This window comes from Homo sapiens, chromosome 4 (genome assembly GCF_000001405.40).
Source record: "Homo sapiens chromosome 4, GRCh38.p14 Primary Assembly".
Classification (NCBI taxonomy): Eukaryota; Metazoa; Chordata; class Mammalia; order Primates; family Hominidae; genus Homo; species Homo sapiens.
The window spans coordinates 70,815,783-70,843,736 of record NC_000004.12 but is presented as its reverse complement, the minus strand read 5'-3'; the positions used below and the strand labels follow the sequence as shown (position 1 = coordinate 70,843,736).

The 27,954-nt window shown below is 44.2% G+C and overlaps 1 protein-coding gene and 1 long non-coding RNA gene across 5 annotated transcripts in view, besides 4 other annotated features; one reads left to right on the top strand and one right to left on the bottom strand.

Annotated features, from left to right (window-relative positions):
* LOC124900710 (uncharacterized) overlaps positions 1-4,745 on the bottom strand; it is an 8,902-nt gene extending 4,157 nt beyond the window's left edge. The window contains exon 1 of the long non-coding RNA XR_007058131.1: positions 4,592-4,745. This is a non-coding gene — a long non-coding RNA (uncharacterized LOC124900710). The remainder of the gene's footprint in view (positions 1-4,591) is intronic.
* Positions 502-27,954, top strand: GRSF1 (G-rich RNA sequence binding factor 1). Of its 4 annotated transcripts, none has more exons than XM_011531897.4 (10): positions 502-567; positions 7,423-7,579; positions 10,464-10,619; positions 11,287-11,430; positions 12,063-12,198; positions 15,701-15,885; positions 17,492-17,613; positions 18,306-18,441; positions 19,369-19,443; positions 22,876-27,954. In XM_011531897.4, the coding sequence occupies exons 2-9, from the start codon at positions 7,552-7,554 to the stop codon at positions 19,416-19,418; spliced, it is 957 nt and encodes a 318-aa protein (XP_011530199.1). In that variant the 5' UTR covers positions 502-567; positions 7,423-7,551; the 3' UTR covers positions 19,419-19,443; positions 22,876-27,954. The 4 variants fall into 4 exon arrangements, with proteins under 4 accessions (XP_011530199.1, NP_002083.4, NP_001091947.1 ...); NM_002092.4 differs by lacking the exon at positions 502-567 and adding an exon at positions 3,847-4,266; NM_001098477.2 differs by lacking the exon at positions 502-567 and adding an exon at positions 4,476-4,509.
* Positions 3,580-3,829: a silencer, noted in NCBI's record as "silent region_15471". NCBI's record gives its function as "represses an Ori minimal core promoter by ATAC-STARR-seq in GM12878 lymphoblastoid cells {active_cell/tissue: GM12878}" and the evidence as "EXISTENCE:reporter gene assay evidence [ECO:0000049][PMID:35858748]".
* Positions 3,836-4,489: an enhancer, noted in NCBI's record as "H3K27ac hESC enhancer chr4:71704965-71705618 (GRCh37/hg19 assembly coordinates)". NCBI's record gives its function as "activates a minimal SCP1, AML or CMV promoter by ChIP-STARR-seq in naive H9 embryonic stem cells {active_cell/tissue: H9 hESC(naive)}" and the evidence as "EXISTENCE:reporter gene assay evidence [ECO:0000049][PMID:30033119]".
* Positions 3,890-4,439: a silencer, noted in NCBI's record as "silent region_15470". NCBI's record gives its function as "represses an Ori minimal core promoter by ATAC-STARR-seq in GM12878 lymphoblastoid cells {active_cell/tissue: GM12878}" and the evidence as "EXISTENCE:reporter gene assay evidence [ECO:0000049][PMID:35858748]".
* Positions 4,490-5,144: an enhancer, noted in NCBI's record as "H3K27ac hESC enhancer chr4:71704310-71704964 (GRCh37/hg19 assembly coordinates)". NCBI's record gives its function as "activates a minimal SCP1, AML or CMV promoter by ChIP-STARR-seq in naive H9 embryonic stem cells {active_cell/tissue: H9 hESC(naive)}" and the evidence as "EXISTENCE:reporter gene assay evidence [ECO:0000049][PMID:30033119]".

Genomic DNA, 27,954 nt, shown 5'->3' with positions numbered 1-27,954 from the left:
GCTGGAGTGCAATGGCACGATCTCGGCTCACTGCAACCTCTGCCTCCCGGGTTCAAGCAATTCTCCTGCCTCAGCCTCCTGAGTAGCTGGGATTACAGGCATGCGCACCATGCTCAGCTAATTTTGTATTTTTAGTAGAGAGGGGGTTCTCCATGTTGGTCAGGCTGGTCTCGAACTCCCGACTTCAGGTGATCCGCCCACCTCGGCTTCCCAAAGTGCTGGGATTACAGGCTTGAGCCACTGCGCCCGGCCTCAGCTTTTATAAATCTTAATTGGCTTTTATTTTCTATTCTAGAATCGGGCAACATCTCATTCTATAGAGTGAGTGTTTTGATGAGCTGAGCAAAGGAGGTTGGGTTTGTAGATAGAAAAGGGCCAAGGAAAGTAGAAACAGAGAATACAAAGCAGATTGGTTGTTTCAGGTATTTTCCCTATAAAGGTCAAAGCAAAGGGGCCTTCCTTATCCTGCCAGCTAACACCAGTCTGTTTGAGGATTTGGCCATTATCTGTCTCTCCTGATTACTCAGAAGGTCAAATAAACTTAGTTTCAGCTTGGTCTTGTGGAAGGTGAGTAACTGCATTTTGGTTTGGTCTTTTGGGCATAGTAGAAGAGCTCAGTCCAAACCAATGGCCTCTTATAATTTAATTTTATTTATTTATTTACTTTTGAGACAGGGTCTCACTCTGTCATGAGGATGGCAGGTGCTACTTTGGAGTGCTGGAGTGCAGTGGTGCGGTCTCAGCTCACTGAAGCCTCAACCTTGTGGGCTCCGGTTTTAGGGTCAGTTTGTGCTGTGAGAGAGCGTGTGACCTTTTGGGACTACAGGCAGGTGTCACCACGCCCAGCTAATTTTTTGTATTTTTAGTAGATACGGGATGTCGCCAGGTTGCCCAGGCTGCCTCTTATTATTTATACTCCTGATTATAAAGTACAGGATTTCTGTCTATTTAGGTTTCCAATCCATTCAGATTTTTATGTTATAGATGATGACTGCTGCTATTAAGAAAATGAGGGCAAGAGTAAATATAGGCAGAGTCTCCAATACATCAGCAACCTGTTATTTGTAGTGATGATCTGTTAGGAAGGGCTAACCCATTTTCCTTCTTGAAAGGGAGGCTTACGAAAAGAAAAATAGGTCAGGTGTGGTGGTTCATGCTTGTAATCCCAAGCACTTTGGGAGGCTGAGGCAGGAGGATTACTTGAACCCGGGAGGTCAAGGCTAGTGTGAGTCATATTCCCACCACTGCACCCCAGCTCGGGCAAAAGAGCAAAACCCTGTCTCTATATAAATAAGTAACTCTAGGATTCCCAAATCTTGCAGATGAAGAAACCCCCTTCTCTTTTTTGGCTGGGGTGGGGAAGACTAGCCTGTTCTTTGTTTTCCTTGGGAAGTTACAGGATTACTGATGAACAAAATTACTGTTCAGGGAAGAGACATCCAGTGGCTTCTATGTCCAGGCCCATTCCCAGGAACCACATTTCCAGAGGGGCCTCAACCCCTGAGGCCTCAACTGGCCCCTTTCCAGGTATCCAAGAACAAATCACGAACAAGCAGTGGGAAACAAAAACCAGCCTGACCTCAGCACCTGCTCTCACCCCAAAGGGAGGTGAGGGCTGCTGGCATTGGTGGGTCCTGGGCCTAGCCTCTAGCCAGAGGATGTGGGGACCTCTCTTGGGGGCCTGCCCTTCCCACACCCCCTCTCCCAGCCAGGCTGTCTTGGACATTTCTGGGACTCCTCTGAGGGATCATGGTTCTTGCTCTGGGGTTTTCTTTTGTCATTTTAACACTGAGGCATCCCAGCCTCCCTTCCTGGAAGATGGAGTATTTGCACTGTTGCCTTTTCTTTTGTCCCTGTTTTTGTATAAAAATGACAATACTCTCCGTCGGACTGTATTTTAGCCCAAAAAACAAAACTAAACCCCTTTTTCTTTGATACTCCAGGTTCATAGAGCCAAGCCTATCAATTTTTTTCTTGTTCTTTGTTTTTTGGTTGGGGAAAGGGTTTTCTAAGAAATACTGAATTTTCCTTACCTAAAAGTAGTCCAGGTTAAACAAGTCAAACTTTAAATGTAATACCCATTGCTTTAAAATATTCTAGCAAAGAAAATAAGGTCTGGAAGATGGTGGTAGGGGATAGATGAAACAAGACTGAAAAGTGTTGACAATTTATGAAGTTCTGGAAATTCATTCTGCTCTTCTGTTTGACATTTTCCACAGTAAGGAGTTTTTAAAAATACTAGCTTTCTCTTATTTTTTACTCTAACAACTTCCTTTTGCTTGTCTTTGACAAGTCCTGGCTCAGGAGGAGAAAAGCTGCACAACCAGTCTTTGTGTATGTGTGTGCAAATCTCTGTGTGTTCACTTGTGAATACAGTTTCATTAGGGGAGGGTTCACCTTTGTTATGTATTATCAGTACATAATAAATATATATGTTTTCTTTTATTTTTTTAGAGACAGGGTTTCACTCTGTCACCCAGGCTGGAGTTCAGTGGTGGCAATCATAGCTTACCACAGCCTCTACCTTCTGGGCTGAAGCAATCGGCCTCCCAAGTAGCTGGGACTACAGGCCCACGCCATCACACCCAGCTTTATTTATTTTTTGTATAGACGGGGTCTCCCTATGTTGCCCAGGCTGGTCTGGAACTCTTGGGCTCCAGTGATCCTCTCACTTCAGCCTCCCAAAGCGCTGGGATTATAGGCATGAGCCACCACGCCAGGCCTATATTTCATTTTAAAACAACGAAGTTCTCCTTCCTCACATACCTCAAATTCGGGGGGTACCAAATCTCTGATATTATCCCAACGATTTTTTTATAACCAAGGTATCACAATTCCTTTCAGAAAGGGTTCTTTAGCCACTCACACCACGGGTTTCGGTGGCACAGCGCAGGGCAGCACAGACTTGTGCTACAGCTCTCGGCCCTACCCAGAGCAGGATGGCCCTAACCTAATTTTTTTGTTTGTTTGTTTGGAGATGGCGTCTCACTCTGTCGCCCAGGCTGCAGTGCGGTGGCACGATCTTGGCTCACTGCAACCTCCGCCTCCTGGGTTCAAGCGATTCTCCTGCCTCAGCCTCCTGAGTAGCTGGGATTACGGGCACCCGTCACCACACCCGGCTAATTTTTGTGTTTTTAGTAGAGACACAGTTTCACCATGTTGGCCAGGCTGGTCTTGAACTGCTGACCTCAGGTGATCCGCCCTACCTCGGCCTACTAAAGTGCTGGGATTACAGGCGGGAGCCACCGCGTCCGACCTAATTTTTTGTATTTTAGTAGAGACGGGATTTCACCGTGTTGCCTAGGTTGGTCTCGAACTCCTGACCTCAGGCAGTCCACCCGCCTCTGCCTGCCAAAGTGCTAGGATTACAAGAATGAGTCACTACGAATGAGTCACTGCGCCAGGCCCCTAGCCTCACTTACTTTGGGCCTCAGTTTCCACCGCCTGAAAAAAGAGCAGTTCGATTGCACCCACTTCCCCGGGCCCCGCCCAAACCATGGGCAGCCCCGCCCAAACCATGGGCAGCCCCGCCCAAACCATGGGCAGCCCCGCCCAAACCATGGGCAGCCCCGCCCAAACCATGGGCAGCCCCGCCCAAACCATGGGCAGCCCCGCCCAAACCATGGGCAGCCCCGCCCAAACCATGGGCAGCCCCGCCCAAACCATGGGCAGCCCCGCCCAAACCATGGGCAGCCCCGCCCAAACCATGGGCAGCCCCGCCCAAGGGCGGAGACTGGGCGGAGCGTCGCGCTCTCCTCCACCTCCTTCCGACTCTCGGAGGCCCCCCACCCAGTGCCCGCGGCGCATGTGCCAGGCACACCCCACCCCCAACCGGCCCTGGATTCCACTTCCGTTCCACCATCGCTGCTGGAGCAGCTGCCTTCAGGCCCTGCGCCGCCTCCGGAGTCCATGGCCGGCACGCGCTGGGTACTCGGGGCGCTGCTCCGGGGCTGCGGCTGTAACTGCAGCAGCTGCCGGCGCACCGGCGCCGCCTGCCTGCCCTTCTACTCCGCCGCTGGCTCTATCCCGTCGGGCGTCTCGGGCCGCCGCCGCCTGCTGCTGCTGCTCGGGGCCGCCGCGGCCGCTGCCTCCCAGACGCGTGGCCTCCAGACCGGGCCTGTGCCTCCCGGGAGGCTGGCGGGGCCTCCCGCTGTGGCCACCTCTGCCGCGGCCGCGGCCGCCGCGTCCTACTCTGCCCTCCGTGCCTCTCTGCTGCCGCAGTCGCTGGCGGCGGCGGCCGCCGTCCCGACGCGCAGCTACAGCCAGGTACGTGGGCGCCGTGAGGGACCTGGCGCGAGATCCCTCCCGGGCCGCGTGCACGCGCCCCCGCGCCCCTCCGTCCCTCCGTGTGCGCCTCGCGGGCACGCCCGGGGATCCGCGACACTCGCCGCACACCCGCCCCCGTCCACCCTGTGCTCCTATTGGGCCCTGGAACAAGGGAAGCTCTCCCAGGCGTCGGGTCTTCTGCTTGTTTTGTTCTCGCCTCGAGTCTCTGGTCGGTTGGGCAGTGTAAGTGTGGCTGGGGTGAATGTTGAGGCCTTGTTCCCCGCCTGGCCCATGGTAGGTTTCGTGAGGCTGCTGACGCCCCCACCTCGCATCTTCTTGCTTTCCGCCGGCTGGTTGTGAAGTTGCGAGGCCCGAGCCCGCCGGAGGGTTGGGAGTTTCCGTGCAGCCCGAGCGCTAGGCCTGGGCGGCCCTCGGCGCCTCTCGGTCGGCCGCTGCTGGGAAGGTGCGCGCACACAGTTGCGTGGGCTGGCTTGTAGGGAAGGAGCCTGTCCCCATCGCGCCGTTCCCTCTCCTGTCCCCAGGGAAAGACGAGCTGTCCCGGTTTACTGAAGGTCACCTCTGCAACTCCACTCATACAGAAGGTCTTTAAGGACTGTGTGTCGCCTCGTCTGGGAAAGCAGTTTGGAGATTTAGCTGTTGGGGGGAGGGGGTGAATGGGAGGGAGCGTTGAGGGTTGAGGACACAACTTGGGGTCCCAGGAATGAATTTGCAATGTTTTCCTTTCCATTTTTTCTTTATTTTTTTAGAAAAGTCGGTGTGTAGTTAGATTGCAAATATTTTGTGCTTTGTAGATGAACCTTTCTCTTCTTGGTACGTGGCATCTGGGAAGTGTCTGCACACTTTTTAACTACCCAGCCCCTGATTCCTTAGGTCATATTTATCTTAATTCAATTTGTGCTTCTCCTTTAACTTAGGGAGACTGGGAGGCTAATCAGCATGGCTGCTGTCTGCCAGTGGCTGAGCTAATTGATTTGAATCCTGGCCCAATACTTTACGCTGCCTTTTTCTGTAAAAGCTTGTGATGCTTATGGAATTATGGAAAAATGGGGAAAGTTGTCTACAAAAACCACAACAAAACCATCTCCAGTAAACCTTTGTGAGCTAGCTTCTCTCTTTTTTTTTCTATGAAATTGACTGCGGTGATATCTGTAGAGCATCTACTATGTGTTAGACACTGCTTACATTTATTCCTTAAAACTAAACATTAAGCCTTTTTTTTTTTTTTTTTTTGGAGACCGAGTCTCGCTCTGTCGCCCAGGCTGGAGTGCAGTGGAATGATCTCGGCTCACTGCAAGCTCCGCCTTCCGGGTTCACGCCATTCTCCTGCTTCAGCCTCCCGAGTAGCTGGGACTACAGGCGCCCGCCACTGCGCCCAGCTAATTTTTTGTATTTTTAGTAGAGACGGGGTTTCACCGTGGTCTCGATCTCCTGACCTCGTGATCCGCCCGCCTCTGCCTCCCAAAGTGCTGGGATTACAGGCGTGAGCCACCGCGCCCGGCCTAACATTAAGCCTTAATGAAAATTATAGATAGGGCTGGGCGCGGCACTTTGGGAGGCTGCGGCGGGTGGATCACCTGAGGTCAGGAGTTCGATAGCAGGCTAACCAACATGGTGAAACTCCGTGTCTACTAAAAAAATGCAAAAAAATTAGCCGGGCGGGGTGGCGGGCGCCTGTAATCCCAGCTACCCGGGAGGCTGAGGCAGGAGAATCCTTTGAACCCGGGGAGGTTGCAGTGAGCCGAGATTGTGCCATTATACTCTAGTCTGGGCGACAAGAGCGAAACTCCGTCTCAAGAAAAAAGAAAAGAAAAGAAAATGACAGATAGTAGAAAGATATCTCTGTCCTTAGTCCGGTAGAGTGCAAGTCTTTTTTTTTTTTTTTTTTTGAGACGGAGTCTTGCTCTGTTGCCCATGCTGGAGTGAAATGCCGAGATCTCAGCTCACTGAAACCTCTACCTCCCGGGTTCAGGCGATTATCCTGCCTCAGCCTCCCGAGTAGCTGGGATTACGGGCACACGCCACCACACCCGGCTCATTTTTTGTATTTTTAGTAGAGATGGGGTTTTGCCATGTTGGCCAGGCTGGTCTTGAACTCCTGACCTCGTGATTCGCCCACCTCGGCCTCCCAAGGTGCTGGGATTACAGGCGTGAGCCACCGCACCTGGCCCAGTAGAGTGCAAGTCTTAAAGCCTGAGTTGTCTTCTTAGGTTATGGTTGTAGTGCTTCGTGGATTCTTACTAAATTCCAGTTTTACTTAATCCGATAAAAGAGACTTTACAAGTCTGTAGCCTCACACTGCTGCCGTTGTCTTTAAGATCTTTCCCTTAATCACTTGGTCTGGCATACCAGCTGACAGAGGAATATTCCCAAGGCGTCCTGCTGTCTTGTTGATTTACCCAGTCCTCAGTGTCTTGTATTAACTTATCTTTGCCTACCAAGTGAAGGACACACATTGAGCTCCACACTCAAGGCCCTCTGCTCTATGGTACCAACCTCTTTTGCCAGGTCACCTTCTTTGGCTCCTAATTTAAACAGTTGGAATTAATTGCTGTTATTCAAATGGGCATTTGGTCGTACTGCTTCTTTCTCTCGCCTTCAAACTGGAATACCCTATCTTTTATATCCTCATAAAAATTCTATCCTTCCTTCAAGGCCCATCTCATGTCACATCCTGATTCATCTGTTAGTGCTCTGATTTGAATTCCTGTAGTATTTTGTATCTTAATTATAGCACTCAGTATCTCATCTTGTATGCTTATCGTATTCTAGATAGCTATTTCAGATGAGGGCGGCAAACACTGTGTGTAGGGGCAATCAAATATTTGTCAAATTGTCAGGACCTTTCTTGTGTTGCCTTAACTACACTATTGTTAGCTATAATTTGGGGTTGATGAATTTTAAAACAAACCCTGAATGAAATTTGTGTCCTGCCAAACCTTTAGGATATACCTGCTTATGGCTTTTGGATGTACAATTTAAGCCAAAACAGGATGGGTTACATTGGTGAAGTTTACTTTTTGCTTCTGAAATAACATCTAGAATGTTAGTTTGTAGAATAAACATTTTCTAAGAATTTTTTTACATTTTTTACCTGTAAATGCAACTCTTTTTACAATTCTTCATTTCCTTTGGAAGGAGTCCAAAACTACTTACCTGGAAGACCTTCCACCACCCCCTGAGTATGAATTGGCCCCGTCCAAGTTAGAAGAGGAAGTGGATGATGTCTTTCTCATTCGAGCTCAAGGACTGCCCTGGTCATGCACTATGGAAGATGTGCTTAACTTTTTTTCAGGTATATTTTATGTATGTTTTATTTATTTATTTTTTTTCCTTATATTGTTTCTCACAAGCAGGTATGTATGTTTTAAGTATGTAATTTTGTCTGAGTAAAAGGTAGTGCTACAAATCCATGTCAGACTACGCTGTCACCTTCCTTTTTGATGGTTGGGAACTGTCTCATTCTGGTTGGTTGCATATACCAAATGATACCATGTGTGCTGTTTGCGGTATGTAACGAATTGAAAGACTTTGGGCCAGGGGCAGTGGCTCAGGCCTGTAATCAGCAGTTTGGGAGGCCAAGGTGGAAGGATGGCTTGAGGCCAGTAGTTCCATACCACACTGGGCAACACTGTGAGACTGTCTCAATTTACATATGTATAAAGACTTTGAATGCAACAAAAGTATTTTAACGTTAAGACTGCATAGTATGGGCCAGGCGCAGTGGCTCACGCCTGTAATCCCAGCACTTTGGGAGGCCGAGGCGGGCGGATCACAAGCTCAGGAGATCGAGACCATCCTGGCTAACATAGTGAAACCCCGTCTCTACTAAAAATACAAAAATTACCCAGGCTTGTAGTCCCAGCTACTTGGGAGGCTGAGGCAGGAGAATGGTGTGAATCCGGGAGGTGGAGCTTGCAGTGAGCCGAGATGGTGCCACTGCATTCCAGCCTGGGCGACAGAGTGAGACTCTGTCTCAAAAAAAAAAAAAAATCCATCATACTATGTAGGTTTTTTTTTTTTTGAGACGGAGTCTCGCTCTGTCGCCAGGCTGGAGTGCAGTGGCATGATCTCAGCTCACTGCAAGCTCCGCCTCCCGGGTTCACACCATTCTCCTGCCTCAGCCTCCCTAGTAGCGACTGCCACCACACCCAGTTAATTTTTTGTATTTTTAGTAGAGCTGGGGTTTCACCGTGTTAGCCAGGATGATCTCAATCTCCTGACCTTGTGATCTGCCTGCCTCGGCTTCCCACAGTGCTGGGATTACAGGCGTGAGCCACCGTGCCCGGCTGGTATGATGGAATACTACGTAGCCATAACAAAGAGTGAGATTATGTGCTTTGCAGCAATGTGGGTGGTGCTGGAGACCATTATCCTAAGCAAACTAACATGGAACATTAAACTTAATACTGTATGTTTTCACTTACAAGTGGGAGCTAAACAATGAGAACACATGGACACAAAGAGGGGAACAAGAAGACACCAGGGCCAACTTGAGGGTTGGGGAGAAGATTAAAAAATACCTATCGGGTCCAAGTGCGGTGGCTCACGCCTGTAATCCCAGCACTTTGGGAGGCCGAGGCGGGCGGATCACGAGGTCAGGAGATCGAGACCATCCTGGCTAACATGTTGAAACCCCATCTCTCCTAAAAATACAAAAAAAATTAGCCGGGCGTGGTGGCACGCTCCCGTAGTCCCAGCTACCTGGGAGGCTGAGGCAGGAGAATCGCTTGAATCTGGGAGGCGGAGGTTGCAGTGAGCTGAGTTCACACCACTGTACTCCAGCCGTGGTGACAGAGAGAGACTCTGTCTCAAAAAGAAAAATAAAACCTATTGGGTACTGTGCTTGCTACCTGGGTAACTAAATTATCTGTATACCGAACTCCCATAACACATGGTTTACCTATGTAGCAGTCCTATACATGTACTAAATAAAAGTTGAAAAACAAAATTACATGGTTTGAAATTATTTTTCTCTGTGGTATTAATATATACATATCAAAAAGTCAAGCCTGTCAGTGGAAATATGGAATTAAGGGTGACTCTTTATGTAATACAGACATTTACAATAGAAGGTCACTTAGTATCAAGGAATAAAGTTCCCTTAATAACATGTTTGGAGGGTTTACATATCTGTGGGATTTTTTTTTTTAGTTTCTGTATCTGACTATGATTTATTTTTATTAATTTTTTTGAGATGGAGTCTTGCTCTGTCACCCAGGCTGGAGTGCAGTAGCGCAATCTCGGCTCATTGCAACCTCCACCTCCCGGGTTCAAGGGATTCTCCTGCCTCAGCCTCCTGAGTTGGTGGGACAGCAGGCACCTATCACCATGCCCGGCTAATTTTTGTATTTTTAGTAGAGACAGGGTTTTGCCGTGTTGGCCAGGTTGGTCTCAAACTCCTGACCTCAGGTGATCCACCACCTTGGCCTCCCAAAGGGCTGGGATTACAGGCATGAACCACCATGCCTGGCTATTTCATTAATTTTTTTAGCTGCTCCTTGTGGAGCAGGAGTAAATCCTAGGCAGTATGCCCAGAGTGAGCCTGGTCAAACTTTTTTTTAAAGCCACTTGGCCACTTACATCTTGGACTACTCCCATTATAAAAAGTATGCAGTATGAAAAGGGGAAAAAGGCTGGGTGTGGTGGCTGATGCCTGTAATCCCAGCACTTTGGGAGACTAAGGTGGGAGGATTACTTAAGCCCAAGAGTTCAAGACCAGCCTGTGCAACAAAATGAGACCGCCTCTCTACAAAAACAAAAAGTTAAACTATGGTAATAAAATTACTCATACAGGAAATATTTTAGAGACCTATGGAGATGATTTTAAAGGAAGACACTTATGTATAAATTTAACTATATTGTATTTCCTTAAGTGATTGTAGAAACATTGCAATAGAAATAATGAATTTTGTGTTGGGCCTATCCTGATTTGCTATTTAATGATCAGGAAGGAGATCATAAGCTTCTGTGCTAAGGTTTGCTTATCTTTTCTACTTGGAAGGTTTTAGAGACTAAATCCTTATTGGTGTTTGGATGACTTCAGTGATGGGGATTTGTGTAAGGAATATGACACTTGTTTCCTGCTTTGTTGTTGGAAAACTGCATTCTTGTGACTTACATAATTGAGCTAAAAGTTTGATTTCTGTTTTCAATTGATTTTGCTCATACACTTTTAGACTGCAGAATCCGCAACGGTGAGAATGGAATACATTTTCTCCTAAACAGAGATGGGAAACGAAGGGGTGATGCCTTAATTGAAATGGAGTCAGAGCAGGATGTGCAGAAAGCCTTAGAGAAGCACCGCATGTACATGGGCCAGCGGTATGTGGAAGGTATGTGAAGTCAGATTATGGCTTTTTGGGATCATTGCATTAGGTTTTATACTTTTCAAGGTAGTTTTTATTTGATCCTTAATAATGAAGTATTTAGATTGTATGAATGCATTCTTTTATAGGATGTGAAAATAAAACATAAAGAGATAAAGTTTCTTTTTTTTGTGGGGGGGATGGAATCTCACTCTGTCACCCAGGCTGGAGTGCAGTGGTGCGATTTCAGCTCACTGCAACCTCTGCCTCCTGGGTTCAAGCAATTCTCCTGTCTCAGCCTCCCAAGTAGCTGGGACTACAGGCACATGCCATGATACCCAGCTAATTTTTGTATTTTTATTAGAGATGGGGTTTTACCATATTGGTCAGGCTGGTCTCAAACTCCTGACCTCAGGTAATCCACCCGCCTTGGCCTCCCAAAGTTCTGGGATTATAGGCGTGAGCCAGTGTGCCTGGCCAATGAAGTATCTTACAAGCTGTGAGAAATAAAGAAGTTATGCCCGCATGGTAAATATGCAATAAATGTCATTTGTTATTTTCTCTAGAGAAGCGCATAAAGATTAAAATAGTTATTGAATTCTCAGATAACCCAGCAAGTTGTAATGATTTTTTTTAATGGGTTTGTTCCTTTGTTATGTAAATTTTTCATCCCTGTTGGGTTTTTTCTTCGTAGTATATGAGATAAACAATGAAGATGTGGATGCCTTAATGAAGAGCTTGCAGGTCAAATCTTCGCCTGTGGTAAATGATGGTGTGGTTCGTTTGAGAGGACTTCCTTATAGTTGCAATGAGAAAGACATTGTAGACTTCTTTGCAGGTACTTTGCAGTTGTATTATGCTTGGGAGCTCATATCTTTTTTCCCTTGGTATCTCCTTCTATATCTTAGATGAGCCTGTTTCTGGGCAAAGGCATGCAGTTATATTAGGTTCTTTAGGGGAGAGCTCTTCACTTAAATTTCTAATATTTATAGATTTTATATGTGTTTTTGTTCTATCAGGCAGATTTTAGGAGGGAAGTCAGATTTCAGAATAATTTCATGAGGGTTTTACTATTGAAGGAAATAACTTCTCATAATAGTTGCTGTATTTGTGTAAGACAATAACAATTTATATAATTTAAAAGTATTTTCTAATTCCTAGAACCATTAGCAGTGAAGTCTGTGATTTCTATTGTTTCCTAGTATATAATTAACAGCAAAAAAAAAAAAAAAAACTGGTGGGGAGAATTGTATGTTTTGGGTGGGCTTCTTGGACCTTACCTATTCTGGAAATACAAGTATGTAGGTGTTGACTGACTTTTGACTGCATAATAATTTTCTTCCTGTCAAGCATGTATTCAGTTTTGGGACTGGCAAAACAGAATAAAAATTTTATTAGTATGTGAATGATGGTGTTAATTCTAAGGATAAAAAAGCCTGCTAGTAGCATTAAAATCTCTTGGTGTCCTAGGACTGAATATAGTTGACATTACTTTTGTGATGGACTATAGAGGGAGGCGAAAAACAGGGGAAGCCTATGTGCAATTTGAAGAACCAGAAATGGCCAACCAAGCCCTGTTGAAACACAGGGAAGAAATTGGTAATCGGTGAGTAAAGCAGATACTAATGATGCAGAAGTGTTACACATTAAGTCATTTTGATGAATGTGCTGTAATATGACTGAAAAGTTATCCAAACATAGAAAAGTAGAGAGAGTAGTGTAGTGAGCCATCAAATGCCCATAATTTAGATTAACAATTTTTTTTCGACTGCTCCTTTTTTTTTTTTTTGAGACAGAGTTTCACTCTTTTTGCCTAGGCTAGAGTGCAATGGCACGATCTTGGCTCACTGCAACCTCTGCCTCCCTGGTTTAAGCGATTCTCCTGCCTCAGCCTCCCAAGTAGCTGGGATTACAGGCGCCTGCCACCATGCCCGGCTTTTTTTGTATTTTTAGTAGAGACGGGGTTTCACCATGTTGGCCAGGGTGGTCTCGATCTCTCGACCTTGTGATCCGCCCGCCTCGGCCTCCCAAAGTGCTGGGATTACAGGCGTGAGCCACCGCATCCGGCTTGACTGCTCCTTGTGGGGCAGGGACTAACCCATAGACAGAGTACCTAGAGCAGCTAGATTAACACATTTATATATAAAATGTAACATCTGTTATATTTGCTTCATCTGGGTTTTTTTTAGTATGCATCTTTTAAAAAAATTTTTTTACATAATTTCAATGTTATATCTAACACTGTTAGCAATAGTATATTATCTAATAACAGTTCATAATAGCATTTTCCCAATTATACCAAAAATAGCCTTTTTTTTTTTGGCAACGGAGTTTCACTCTGCCGCCTAGGCTGGAGTGCGGTGGTGTGATCTTGGCTCACTGCATCCTCTCTCTGCCTCCCAGTTTCATGTGATCCTCCTGCCTCAGCCTCCTGAGTAGCTGGAACTAGAGGCATGCGCCACCATGCCCAGCTAAGTTTTGTATTTTTAGTAGAGACAAGGTTTTACCATGTTGGCCAGGCTGGTCTAGAACTCCCGGACTCAAGTCATTCACCCACCTCGGCCTCCAAAAGTGCTGGGATTACAGGTGTGAGCCAGCACACCGGACAAAAATACAGAATCCAGATAAGGTCTACACACTGCATTTGATTGTTATGTCCATAATTCTCTGTGTGTGTGTGTGTTTTTTTTTTTTTTTTAAGACACAGGGTCTTATTCTGTCACCCAGGCTGGAGTGCAGTGGCATGATGATAGCTCACTACAGCCTTGAATTCCTGGGCTCAAGCAATCGTCTCGCCTCATCCTCCCAACTAGCTAGAACAATAGGCATGTGCCGCCACACCTGGCTGTGTGTATGTGTGTGTGCGTGCGTGCGTGTGTGTTTGTAGGTGGGGTCTTGCTGTGTTGCCCTGGCTGGCCTCAAACTCATGGGCTCAAGTGATCGCCCGCTTTGGCTTCCCAAAACGCTAGGATTACAGGTGTGAGCCACTGCACCTGACCACTGATTCTCTTGAACTAGAGCAAATCCCCCTTACTTATTCTTCCCCCCTTTTTAAAAGCAATTGACTTTTGAAGAAATTAGATCAGTTGTCTTGTACAGTATCTCATGTTGACATCACCTCAGGATGCACATGATGATAAGTGGGTTCATTTGTGTTTTAACTTTAACTTTGGAGGTACAGTTTAAAATGTCAAATGTTAAATCACTGTTTCGTTAATTTTTTTTTTTACTGTTTTCTGGCCTTTTAAATCAGCTCCTTTGAAGTAAACAAAACAGCCATTCCAAAGCCAGTGTTTCAGGATCTACTGATAGAAGTGGTTCAAAGGTTTTTTGGTTTTTTGAGACAGGATCTTGCTCTGTCACCCAGGCTGAAGTGCAGTGCCACAAACACTGCTCATTTCAGCCTTGACCTTCTGGGCTCAAGCAGTCCTGCCATCTCAGCTTTCCTTGTAGCTGGTACCACAGGCATGCATCACCATGCCTGGCTAATTTTAGACAGAGTCTTATTCTGTTACCCTCGCTGGAGTGCAGTTGTGTGATACAGCTCACTGCAGTTGTGGCCTCCTGGGCTCAAGCAATCCTCCCACTTCAGCCTCCCAAGTAGCTGGGACTACAGATACATGCCACCACACCCAGCTAATTTTTGTATTTTTGTAGAGACGGGGTTTTGCATGTTGCCCAAGCTGGTCTCACACTCCTGAGCTCAAGTGATCCACCTGCCTCAGCCTCCCAAAGTACTGGGATTATAGGTGTGAGCCACTGTACCTGGTCTCCTGGCTAATTAAAAAAAAAAACAAAAAAAAACTTTTGTAGAGATGGTGTCTCACTTTGTTGTCCAGGCTCAAAGGTTTTTTTTTTAAAGAAGTAGTGCTCATCTAATCTTTATAGATTTGTAAACACAAGCTAGTTTTATAACTCTTAGTTTAGAAGGCCATGTTAAGAAAAAGGAAACTGTGCTGGGCGCGGTGGCCCATGCCTATAATCCCAGCACTTTGGGAGGCCGAAGTGGGAGGATCACTTGAGCCCAGGAGTTCAAGAGCAACTTGGGCAACATGGCAAGAACCCATGTCTACAAAAATAAAAAATAAAAAAATTAGCAGTGTGTGGGCTGGGCATGGTGGCTCATGCCTATAATCCCAGCACTTTGGGAGGCTGAGGCAGGTGAATCACCTGAGGTCTGGAGTTTGAGACCAGCCTGGCCAACATAGTGAAACCCTGTCTCTACTAAAAATACAAAAAATCAGCTGGGCGTGGTGGCGGGCGCCTGTAATTCCAGCTACTCAGGAGGCTGAGGCAGGAGAACTGCTTGAACCCAGGAGGCAGAGGTTGCAGTGAGCCAAGATCGTGCCATTGCACTCCAGCCTGGGCAACAAAAGCAAAACTCTGCTTCAAAAAAAAAAAAAAAAAATTAGCAGTGTGTGGTGGCAGGTGGCAGTAGTCCCCAGCTACTCAGGAGGCTGAGGCAGGAGGATCACTTGAGCCTAGGAGGTTGAGGCTGCAGTGAGCCATGTTCACACCACTGCACACCATCTTGGGTGACAGCAAGAAACCCAAGTTTCAAAAAAAAAAATTGTTCCAGAAGCTTGGGTTTAATAGATAGTCCCCTCCTGTGATAGCAAGTCATAATTGATACTTAGTTCTTGAATTCTCAGCCTTTTAGTGAAGTTCTGGGGAAGTTAGCTCTTCTTTTACTGTGACTTTTAATATCTTATACAGATATGATTAATTTGCACAGAATTGAATTTCAGAGCTTCAAGAGATTGTTAACCAGCAATTTAAAAAACCCTTATGAGATTAATTTTTTCTGTATACACAATTAACTTAAGCATAGTTGTTCTCATGAAGCAAAACAGAGTAGAAAATATTATTAAAATGTATGTGAAGAAAAAGTGTTACCTTGATGCAAAAACTTAAATCAGTGACCTACTCTGTTGTATATTTTCATGGGCTACTATCTGTATGCATTATTAGTTTTCCCTACCTGTTATCTTTTGACACCTGTGTTTCATAAGCTGTTGGAAATATAATGTATACATGTTTATTTTAAATGAGTTCAGTATAAAGTTACTTTGCACCATTTGTGCCTGTTTACTTTTGCTTTGACATAGATACATCGAGATATTTCCAAGCAGAAGGAATGAAGTTCGAACACATGTCGGTTCTTATAAGGGAAAGAAAATCGCATCTTTTCCTACTGCTAAGTATATAACTGAGCCAGAAATGGTCTTTGAAGAACATGAAGTAAATGAGGATATTCAACCCATGACAGCTTTTGAAAGTGAGAAGGAAATAGGTAAGGTCCTGCCTCTTCTTGAGACTCATTGGGTCTATCTTGAATGTTTTGGGTTTTGTGATTTTTTTTTTTTTGAGATGAAGTCTCGCTCTGTTGCCAGGCTGGAGTGCAGTGGTGCGATCTCGGCTGACTGCAGCCTCTACCTCCTGGGTTCAAGTGATTCTCCTGCCTCAGCCTCTTTGAGTAGCTGGGACTACAGGCGCATGCCGCCACGCGCAGCCAATTTTTATATTTTTAGTAGAGATAGGGTTTCGCCACGTTGGCCAGGCTGGTCTGGAACTCTTGACCTCAAGTGAGCCGCAGCCTCCTAAAGTGCTGGGATTACAGGTGTGAGCCAACACACCCGGCCTAAAGATTTAATAGGACTTTACATACTTTGAGTATATGCAGAAAGGCTTAATTATTTTGCTAGGTTTTTAATTTAATCATTTTTATTAACTATATCAAAAGCTGGGTAGTAAAAATGTGATAAAAGGAAGTAAGATGTCAACATTTAAATTAAGATGGGGGAAGATTTGGATAATGAGCAGGAATATTGACTGAAGTAAGGATTTTTTTTTTTTTGAGACAGAGTTTCACTCTGTTGCCCAGGCTGGAGTGCAGTGGCGCACTCTCGGCTCACTGCAGGTTCCGCCTCCCAGGTTCACGCCATCATCCTGCCTCAGCCTCCCGAGTAGCTGGGACTACAGGCGCCTGCCACCGTGCCCGGCTAATTTTTATATTTTTAGTAGAGACGGGGTTTCCCCGTGTTGGCCAGGCTGGCGTTGAACTACTGACCTCAGGTGATCTGCCGGCCTCTGCTTCCCAAAGTGCTGGGATTACAGGCATGAGCCACTGTGCCCGCCTGAAGTAAGGATTTTTGTTTGCTTCTGGATTTAATTATTTCTTTGATTCCTAACCCAGGGCAACATTTGGAATCTTTTAAGTTTCATAAATACTTTTTAAACTGGTACCCTGGGATTATCTTGTCACTATATATATGTGTATATATATTTTTGTTTTTTGAGACAAAGTCTTGTTCTGTGGCCCATTCTGGAGTGCAGTGGCACAATCATGGCTCACTGCAACCTTGAACTCCTGGGCTCAGGCAGTTCTTCCACCCCAGCCTCCTGAGTAGCTGGAACTATAGGCATGCATCACCATGCCCAGCTAACTTATTTTTATTTTTATTTTTTGTAGAGACAGTGTCTGGCTGTGTTGCCCAGGCTGGTCTCGAACTCCTGGGCTCAAGTGATTCTCCTGCTTCAGCCTTCCAAAGTGTTGGGATTACAAGTGTGAGCTACCACGCCCAGCCTTTGTTCTTTTTTTTTTTTTTCAGTGCCTATAATCTAGAAAGTCTCTTTTAGGGTTTAATTCATAATCATTTTACCTGCTCTCTGATGTTACAAAAAGGGCTAAGTTCTTAAACTGGTAATGGTCTGAGGCATTCAGTGCTTATGGGTGTTCAGGTGATATTTGTTGAGTGGCAGAAATTTCAGATCATTTTGGCTTTTAATGCTCTTAAGAGGAATTGAGGATTTGGACATAAAAGTCATACCTAATTAGAATCTGTTAATAACCCTTGAAGCTGTTATGTTTTAACAGTGCTTTCTGTTCCACCTCTCAGAATTGCCTAAGGAGGTGCCAGAAAAGCTTCCAGAGGCTGCTGATTTTGGAACTACGTCTTCTCTGCATTTTGTCCACATGAGAGGATTACCTTTCCAAGCCAATGCCCAAGACATTATAAACGTGTGTGGCAGTAAGATATCCAATCTCAATAGATTTGAACAAAAGTTCTAAAATTGAACTTGTATTAATTTGGGGAAGGTAGAGAAGAAAATATAGTGTTTCTGCGTTGGATAGTAAGATGGCATCTTCCTGGTTGCAAAGCTTGCTTCTTTTTCTGTAGCTGAAAAGTGTGGCTTGGTATTACTTTTTTTTGTGACAGAGTCTCGCTCTGTCGCCCAGGCTGGAGTGCAGTGGAGTGAACTTGGCTCACTGCAACCTCTGCCTCCCGGGTTCAAGCATTTCTTCCGCCTTGGTCTACCGAGTAGCTGGGATTACAGGCAGGCGCCACCATGCCCGGCTAATTTTAGTATTTTCAGTAGAGATGGGGTTTCACCATGTTGGCCAGGCTGGTTTTGATCTCCTGACCTCAAGCGATCCACTGTCCTCGGCCTCCCAAAGTGTTGAGATTACAGGTGTGAGCCACCATGCTCGCTGAGAGCAGATATTTGAAATGTCACTTTGAGTTCTGAGAAAAAGTAAAAAGCCAGAAGACATACTAGATATATAAATATATTACTGCTTAAAAAGATTTCCTAAAAAGAAATGTATCAAGTGTATGAATCAAAGTCTGAAAGAAAGATGAAGAGCCACCAGACTTCTAGGTAGGTTTACATCCATCATGTTCCTCTTGACTGCCTTTGTTTGTCGTTTAGTTTTTTGCTCCACTCAAGCCTGTTAGAATCACCATGGAATACAGCTCCAGTGGGAAGGCCACTGGAGAAGCTGATGTGCACTTTGAGACCCATGAGGATGCTGTTGCAGCGATGCTCAAGGATCGGTCCCACGTTCGTAAGTCCTGCCTTTGGCTTTTGTTGTCATTTTTGATGCTTGTCTTTGCTTACAAATATCTTTTTCTGTTTTGGGATTGTAGAATTTTTCCTTGAGAAATTTGTATTCTTTTAGTACTAGTAAATTAAACGTAACAGATAAAACACTATATTATAATTTAAAAAATTTTGTCTGCTAATTATCCTGCAAATCTCTTTCTTTCTTTTTTTTTTGTCACCCACGCTGGAGTGCAGCGGTGCCATCTCGGCTCACCGCAGTCTCAGCCTCCTGTGTTCAAGCAATTCTCCTGCCTCAGCCACCTGAGTAGCTGGGATTACAGGTGCCTGGCACCGTGCCTGACTAATTTTTCTATTTTTAGTAGACACAGGTTTCGCCATGTTGGCCAGGCTGGTCTCGAACTCCTGGGTTCAAATGGTCCACCTGCCTCGACCTCCCAAAGTGCCGGGATTACAGGCATGAGCCACCGCATCCAGCCTGTTTGTCCATTTTACATTTTGTTTGTTTGTGGTTGTTTGAGACGGAGTCTTGTCTGTCGCCCAGTCTGTAGTGCAGTGGTATGATCTCAGCTCACTGCAACCTCCGCCTCCTGGGTTCAAGTGATTGTCCTGCCACAGCCTCCCGAGTAGCTGGGACTATAGGCACCCACCACCACACTGGCTAATTTTTGTATTTTTAGTAGAGATGGGGTTTCGCTACATTGGCCAGGCTGGCTTGAACTCCTTACCTCAGGTGATCCTCCCACTTCGGCTTCCCAAAGTACTGGGATTACAATAGGCGTGAGCCACCGTGTCTGGCCTAAATTTTGTTTTTAATTAGGGAAAGGAAAGGGCAAAGGGTTTGAGTTGCTGTCTGAACTGTGAGAAAAATGGCTGTAATATTTTTCTACCTTTTCAACTTTTTAAAACTAATCTTTCTCATTATCCTCAGATCATAGGTATATTGAACTGTTCCTGAATTCATGTCCAAAAGGAAAATAAGACTCTAGGGGCTCCAGATAATAAGGTAAATTTAAGAGGTAATACTGTGGGCTGGGTGCAGTGGCTCACACCTGTAATCCCAGTACTTTGGGAGGCCAAGGTGGGCGGACCACCTGAGGTCAGGAGTTCAAGCCAGCCTGGCCAACATGGTGAAACCCTGTCTCTACTAAAAATACAAAAATTAACCGAGCATGATGGTGGGTGCCTGTAATTCCAGCTACTCAGGAGGCTGAAGCGGGAGAATCACTTGAACCCGGGAGGCAGCGGTTGCAGTGAGCTGAGATTGTGCCACTGCACTCCAGCCTGGGCAACAGAGCGAGACTCAAAAAAAAAAAAAAAAAAGAGAGAGATACAACTGTGGAAATTATTTGCTATTGATAAACTAATAATCATTCACTCACTAATTTGTAATATGGTAGAAACCATTCTCTTTTTATTTTTCAAATTTTTTTAGGGACTAGGTCTTGCTCTGTTGCCCAGGCTAGCAGTGGTGCGATCATAGCTCACTGCAGCTTCAACCTTCTGGGCTCAGGTGATTCTCTCACTTCAGCCTCCCAAGTAGCTGGGACTACAGGTGTGTACTACCATGCCTACCTAATTTTTTAATTTTTTGTAGAGATGGGGTCTCACTATGTTGCCCAGGCTGGCCTTGAACTTCTGGCCTTAAGTGATCCTGCTGCCTTTGCCTCCCAAAGTGTTGGAATTACAAGAGTGAGCCACCCCGCCTGGCACCATTCCTTTTTAATAAAGATCAAACTAATGATAATTGAAGTGTCAATATAAGGAATGAAAATTCTCGCTCTGGCTTCTCAGATGTGGGGGGCAAAAAAAAAAAAAGAAAATTCTGCTGGGAAATAGAATTAATTATGATATTTTTTCATTTTTTTTAAATTTTATTTTATTTATTTATTTATTTTTTGTGAGATGGAGTTTCACTCTTGTTGCCCAGGCTGGAGTGCAATGGCTCGATCTCCACTCACTGCAACTTCCACCTCCCGGGTTCAAGAGATTCTCCTGCCTCAGCCTCCCAAGTAGCTGGGATTACAGGCATGCACCACCACGCCCAGCTAATTTTTGTATTTTTAGTAGAGACGGGGTTTCTCCATGTTGGTCATGGCTGGTCTTGAACTCCTGACCTCAGGTGATCCGCCTGCCTCGGCCTCCCAAAGTGCTGGGATTACAGGCGTGAGCCACTGTGTCCGGCCTACTTTTTATTTTTTTTGAGACAGAGTCTTGCTTTGTTGAGCAGACTAGATTGCAGTGATGCAGTCTGGGCTCACTGCAAACTCCGCCTCCTGGGTTCAAGTGATTCTCCTGCCTCAGTCTCCCGAGTAGCTGGGACTGCAGGTGCCCGCCACAATGCCTGGCTAATTTTTTTGTATTTTTAGTAGAGATGAGGTTTCACCATGTTGGCCAGGCTCATCTTGAACTAACTCCTGGCCTCAAGTGATTTACCTGCCTTGGCTTCCCAAAGTGCTGGGATTACAGGAGTGAGCCACTGCTCCCAGCCATAATTCCTTATGATTTATATGGTAGCTTTGAGCATTATCTCCATATAGAATTTTTATGCATAATTTCCAACATCATGCTGTTTGCCAAAAAATAGCCACCTTTAGTAGCTATAAATCGTAATAGACTGGATATGTGACTTGCATTAGCTTTTTTTCCCCACTTAAATTTAAACACGTTTTCCATTTTCTCAGGTTACTTTTGTTTTTTTTTTTTTTTTTTTTTTGATATGAAATCTCACTCTTTTTGCCCAGGGTGAAGTGCAGTGGCACAATCTCAGCTCACTGCAACCCCTGCCTCCCGGGTTCAAGTGATTCTTCTGCCTCAGCCTCCCAAGTAGCTAGGATTACAGGCATTCTCTACCACATCCAGCTAATTTTTGTATATTTAGTAGAGACGGGGTTTCACCATGTTGGCCAGGCTGGTCTCAAACTCCCGACATCCAGTGATCCGCTAGCCTCAGCCTCCCAAAGTGCTGGGATTACAGGTGTGAGCCACCACGCCCAGCCATTTTCTGTTTTAAGGTATTTTTAAAAGGATACCATGTGAAACCAGAGTGTATCATCCATAAACACAGTTAATGTGCCACTGTTTCCTTTTCCTAAAATGGCATTTTTTTTTTGCCTTAGGAAGTACATAATTTTATAGTGTTAACCTACCCGTGAGATTTGCTTAATACATCTTGATGTTCCTTGCCTCGATTAAATATATGGTGTCTTTTTTTTTTCCCATAAGGTATTGTAAGTATTACTGTTGTATTGCAGTCACTTTTCTACAGGTAATGGCTCATTCTTTTGAGACACTTACCTGTAATGATTTCTTGAAAACACATGGGGCCAGGCATGGTGGGTTACTCCAGTAATCCCATTACTTCAGGAGGCTGAGGCAGGCAGATCACCTGAGGTCAGGAGTTTGAGACCAGCCTGGCCAAAATGGCGAAACCCTGTCTCTCCTAAAAATACAAAAATTAGCTGGGTGTGGTGGTGCATGTCTGTAGTTCCAGCTACTGGGAAGGCTGAGGCAGGAGAATCACATGAATCTGGGAGGCGGAGGTTGCAGTGACTGAGATGGTGCCACTGCACTCCACCAGCCTGGATGACAGAACGAAACTCTGTCTCAAAAAAAAAAAAAAAAAAGGAACAAAAAAACACGGACATTCATTCTATTACTATATCCTATTCTATTGCTTTTTTTTTTTTTTTGGGAGACGGAGTCTCTCTCTGTCGCCCAGGCTGGAGTGCAGTGGTGTGATCTCCGCTTACTGCAACCTCCGCCCCCCGGGTTCAAGCGATTCTCCTGCCTCAGTCTATGAAGTAGCTGGGGCTACAGGCGTATGCCACCATGCCCGGCTAAGTTTTGTATTTTATTTTTATTTATTTATTTTTTGAGACGGAGTTTCTCTCGTTGCCCAGGTTGGAGTGCAATGGCACAGTCTCAGCTCACTGCAACCTCTGCCTCCTGGGTTCAAGTGATTCTCCTGCCTCAGCCTCCCCAGTAGCTGGGATTACAGGCATGCGCCACCACACCCGGCTAATTTTTTATTTTTGTGGAGACGGGGTTTCTTTATGTTGGCCGGGTTGGTCTCGAACTCCTGACCTCAGCTGATCTGCCCGCCTCAACCTCCCAAAGTGCTGGGATTACAGGCGTGAGCCACCGTGCCTGGCCTCTTCTGTTGCTATTTTTGGATATGAAGTCCCACAATTCTTTGGTGTTAAATATTTATAATAGCTAAAATCTATTTAAAATATATTCTGAAACTCAGTTTTTTGTACCAGCCTGTAAACACTAATGCCTGACTAGTTTTCCTCACTTTAACTCGGTTTATCAGATAGCTTGCACTAAATTAGAAAGGAGAAAAATTTGAATTTGCAATTTTAAATGGTATGGGAATGTGTGCCATCCTTTTTCATCTTGAGTAAATGTACAATATTTTTTGTTTTATTTTTAGGGTGAAGCAAGAAGCATTTCATTTGCACATCTTTCTTGGACTTGGGATATACAGTTCCAGTTTATTAGCAGCAACTGCTAGGGAAATGATTTTGGTGTTTTGGGTTAATTGCTTCTAAGAAAAGTTTCATAGTGGACTGTTTAGAAGAAGAAATGAAAGATCCAGTTTGGGATTATGAAATAAACCACAAATTAAAATTTTTGTTTAAACTGTCCAGGATCTGATTTAAAAATATGGTCTTTGTTTTATATGATTAAATGGTTTGTTTTCATAGATGATATGTTACTCATTGTAAAGACCACATATTTTTATTCAGCAGTGTTCTTTAAACGGTTTCATTTAAAAAGTAACTTTTTTTTTTTGCCTGTGAATTGAGTGCTCTGATGTAAAACTTCTCATGGAGTGAAACAGTGATTTATTTTAACCAAACATTCACCAAAGCAAAGAACGGTTTCAGACCTTTGAACTGGTATGGTTTGGCAGAATAGTTTTAAATTTTGCTGTATTTGATTACTTAGAGATAGGAATTTTTAAAAATCAAAACAAAAAATACCACAGCTTAGTGTAAATGACAATTTGGCGGTTTTATGTCTTTAGAAATGTTTTGCCTTTCTAAGCCTTGTGCTAAAGGCGTATAACGGTGGTGCCTATCTACTTAAGGGGGCATTCTAGTCTTAACTTAAAAGTTGTCTAAACTGTCCCTCCCTGGCTTTTTTTGGTTTGGGGTAGACCTAAGGGTGTTTGTTAGTCTCAAAACTGTGAAGTGACATGTCAGAACAGTCCAGACTGGTAAGAAAATTAATGGCTTCACTTGAATTTAAACCAGCTCTAGATAGGAAAAAAATCAGTCTCCTCATTTGCTTTTTAAATGGAGTAGTACATCCCATATTTTAGAACAAGTAGGGGTGCCTTGCTTAAATAAAAATAGCATTTAATGTATAATTGTGTGAAGGGTTTATGGATAAAGCTGTACTTCTGTCACAATGTGGCAGTACTTTCTGCTTTAATATTAAACAGCTTGTTATTTAAATATTGGACAAAATGGCTGGCTTCAAAATATAGTCATTAATAAACTAACTTTATGTGCACCTGTGTAGGAGAATCAAAATCCTGTATGCTTTCTTTGCCTTGTTCCTGTTCTCAGGGTGACGACTGCCACCAGGAGATGCAGTTCTAGTTCTTAAAATTAAATTTGCCCAGGTTTCTGACAGGTGATACCTGGAAGAGAGACTATGTCTTCTCTTACTTAATACATAACCATCTTTGATTACCAGCTAAGATGCGAAATCACTGTACTGTAGTCAATAAATGAAGACTTGTTTCAGGCTGAAGATTACCTAAGAGTATTTATTATTGGAGTCTGTGAGTCAACTGAATATATTATTACCTCAAGTCCTGCTATATTAATATAAGTAGTAAGGGTTAATTTTCGTGTGTGTGTTCTCTAAAATCCTGTGAACATGACTTAACCAGCTTAACATCATCAGTAGTACTGCCTAGATGGAAATGCGTTTTCATATATGGTTGAATATGCCAAGCTATGAGAACTGGTATCTGTAGTTGTACGAACTATTAGAATGTGATCTTTGTTGCTCTTTCACATTTGGTATCTGATTTGCTGTGGAAAAGATCTGTGGGGCCTACTGTGAGGAATTCATCTGCAATTGATTTAAGCTAATGAGTTTTATTTGCACATCTCTGGAAAAAGAATGCAAGCAAAGCATTAAAATGCTATATGATGGATGGGTAAGGTTGAAAGGATATATCTTCTTGGCACGCTACAGGCTGAGTTTTCTGTACAAAATGTGGCCATTATTGGGAAATCATTTTATGTATTTGAATGCTCCCTTTTGTTTTTGTTCATGATCTAGGCTAGTACGTAAGTGATTGCTAAGGTGGATGTAGTTATGGGAAAGGAAGAGAAGCACATAATACAGTAAAAGTAATCTTATTTCCATGCAAGTGGAAGACGGTACCGTCTCCCCACATTTGAGAAGACTGTTTTGCATCACTCTTTGCTATTGAAGGAAGCAGTGATGGTGAATTTCCTTCTGTTTGGGTTCCTTGTGTCTATAACTTCCTTTGTGGTAAAGCCATCAGGAAGAATAGTGGGAGTGGGGCATATGGTCAGGGTGCTCATATCCTGCTTTAGCCTAGCTGCTGCTTACGGAGTGCAAGGGAGAACTCTGAGAAGCAGTATGTAAATACCAGGGAGCTGATTGCTGAATATTGTGGTCTCATCTGAATATTGTGGTCTCATCTAAATATTGACACCAGGCAATGAAGCAGAAATAGAGTATGTGTCCCTTTATGCGTGGGTAACTTAAGCTTCTGTCATGTGGGAAGGGGGACCGAATCTTCCCTGGGAGGAAGGCTCCAAATTCTCACTACTTCTGTGTTACTTGAAGGGGGAAGCATAAGGAACCCAGTTTGAAGGCAACATTGTGTGCCATGAATCTGCTTATTAATCAACATGCCTTGTTAATGTCCTCTGCCCTGAACAGCCCTTACTCAGTTCTCATTTGGAAAGTTATTTTTTGGGGTTACATCCTGTTTGTTTCAGAATTTAAAACCCTCCATGGTGGGTCACTTGAGGTCAGGAGTTCAAGATTAGCCTGGCCAACTTAGTGAAACTCCGGCTCTACTGAAAATGCAAAAATTAGCCAGGTGTGGCACACGCCTGTAATCCCAGTTACTTGGGAGGCCAAGGCAGGAGAATCGCTTGAACCTGGGAGGCAGAGGTTGTAGCGAGCCAAGATCACACCATTGCACTCCAGCCTGGGCAACAGAGTGAGACTCTGTCAAAATCAAAAAAACCAAAATACAAAAAACTCCATTGTTCTGAGAGTTTCCCCTAAATTATCGGAAGACACTCACATTGAATTGGTAGGACCTATAGTATAGAGGAGAATGGTATGTATGTCAGCAGTAGAGTTCCAATCCAAATTGCGCTATCGCATTAGAAATACATTACCCTCCCACTCCCCAAGTTCAGCAAATTAGAAGAGAATCTGAAGTTTGTAGGAAGGGAATAAAGCTGCTATAAACATTTATGTGCAGGTTTTTGTGTAGACTCGTTTTCAGCTCCTTTGGGTAAATACCAAGGAACCAGGTTGCTGGATTGTAAGTTAAGAGTATGTTTAGTTTTGGAAGAAACTGCCAAACTGTTCCAACATGACTATTTTGAATTCCCATTGACAATGAATAAGAGTTCCTGTAGCTCCTCACCCTCATTAGTATTTGGTGATGTCACTCTTGCATTTTAGCTAATGGGTGAATAGTGGTCTCATCGTTTTAATTCCCAATCCCATAGTGATGTGGAGCACCTTTTCATATACTTAATCTGCCATCCTTATATCATCATTGGTGAGGTGTCTGGATTTTCTGTCCAGAATTTTAGTTCTAGTGGTTTTCTTATTTTTAGAAAGGAAGTATAGGAAGGAAGGTTTAATCTGTCTTAAGCCTGATTATATGAAAATCAAGAATAGGCTAGGTGTGGTGGCTGACATCTGTAATCCCCGCACTTTGTGAGGCTGAAGTGGGAGGACTGCTTGAGCCTGGGAAGTCAAGCCTGCAGTGAGCCATGACTGTTGCTGCACTCCAGCCTGAGTGACAGAGTGAGACCCTGTCTCAGAAAAAAAAAAAGCAGGCTCATTTTAAAGTTGTTTATATTTTATTTTTTGAAGGAAATAAACTTGAAGAGATACAAACGGTAGTGAAGATTCTCCTTCCCCTCCTGTAATTCAGCTGTTTAGTTTCTATTCTCGCACAGCCCTGTTATCAGTTTCTAGTGTAAGCTTGCAGTGACTTTTACTTTATTTATAAGCAAGTGTTAGTGGGTGTTGTCATTTCTTTTAAAAATATAAATTATACTGTACATGCTATTTTGTATTTTGGCTTTTCTCCCACCTAAACACCCTAAAGATCATTTTCTGTCAGTATATAAAATCTTGGTGATGCCAATACCCATCCCTTAGATTGTACAAGCAGCATTTTGCCATGCTTTATCCCATAGCCTGCCTCCTGCAGTCTCATCTTTTTTTCTATATGCATGTCCAAGTAAGTTGTAGACATTTTTCACTTTTAATCCTTTCAGCATACATGTCATGGGAATTTGTTTTTGTTTTTGTTTTTTGTGTTTGAGACAGTCGCTCTGTCACCCAGGCTGGAGTTATAGTGACGTGATCCCAGCTCATTACAGCCTCCACCTCCCAGTTTCAAGCAATTCTCATGCCTCAGATTCCCGAGTAGCTGGGATTACAGATGTGCACCACCACGCCTGACTAATTTTTGTATTTTTAGTAGAGATGGGGTTTCATCATGTTGGCCAGGCTGGTCTGGAACTCCTGGCCTCCAGTCATTTGCCTGCCTCGGCCTCCCAAAGTGCTGGGATTACAGGCATCAGCCACCACACCCAGCCGTCATTGGAGTTTTTTTGAGGGAGATTTGCAGTAAGGTGAATAAATGTTAAGTGTATCATTTGATGAGGTTTTTTCTTTTTTTTTTTTTTTTTTTGAGATGGAGTCTTGTATCGCCCAGGCTAGAGTGCAGTGGCCTGGTCTTGGCTCACTGCAACCTCCACCTCCTGGGTTCAAGGGAGTCTCCTGCCTCAGCCTCCCGAGTAGCTGGGATTACAGGTGTGAGCCACCATACCCAGACTCATTTGATGAGTTTTGATGTAAAAGCATGTAACTCAAACCCCTATGTCTGGAACATCTGTATTACATCTGAATTTTTTCACCTAGTCAATTCCTGCACCTCTCTCTCCTGTCCCTTCTTCCCTCCCCTGGCAGTCAGCTACTGTTAGGATTTTGTTCACTGTAGATTAATTTTGCCTATTCTAGAACTTCATATAACGGACTCACTTATGCAGTATGTATTCTGTAAGTTCCTTTTACTCAGCATGTTTGTATGTTCATCAGTGTGTTTAAGCTTTGTTCCTTTTTATGGCTGAGCAGTGTTCTATGTATGAATGCCACATTTTAACGTTTCACCTGTTAGGTGAACAACTAACTGGTGAACAATGGGCTGTTTCTAGTTTGGGGCTATCATGAATAAAGTTGGTATGAACATGTACAA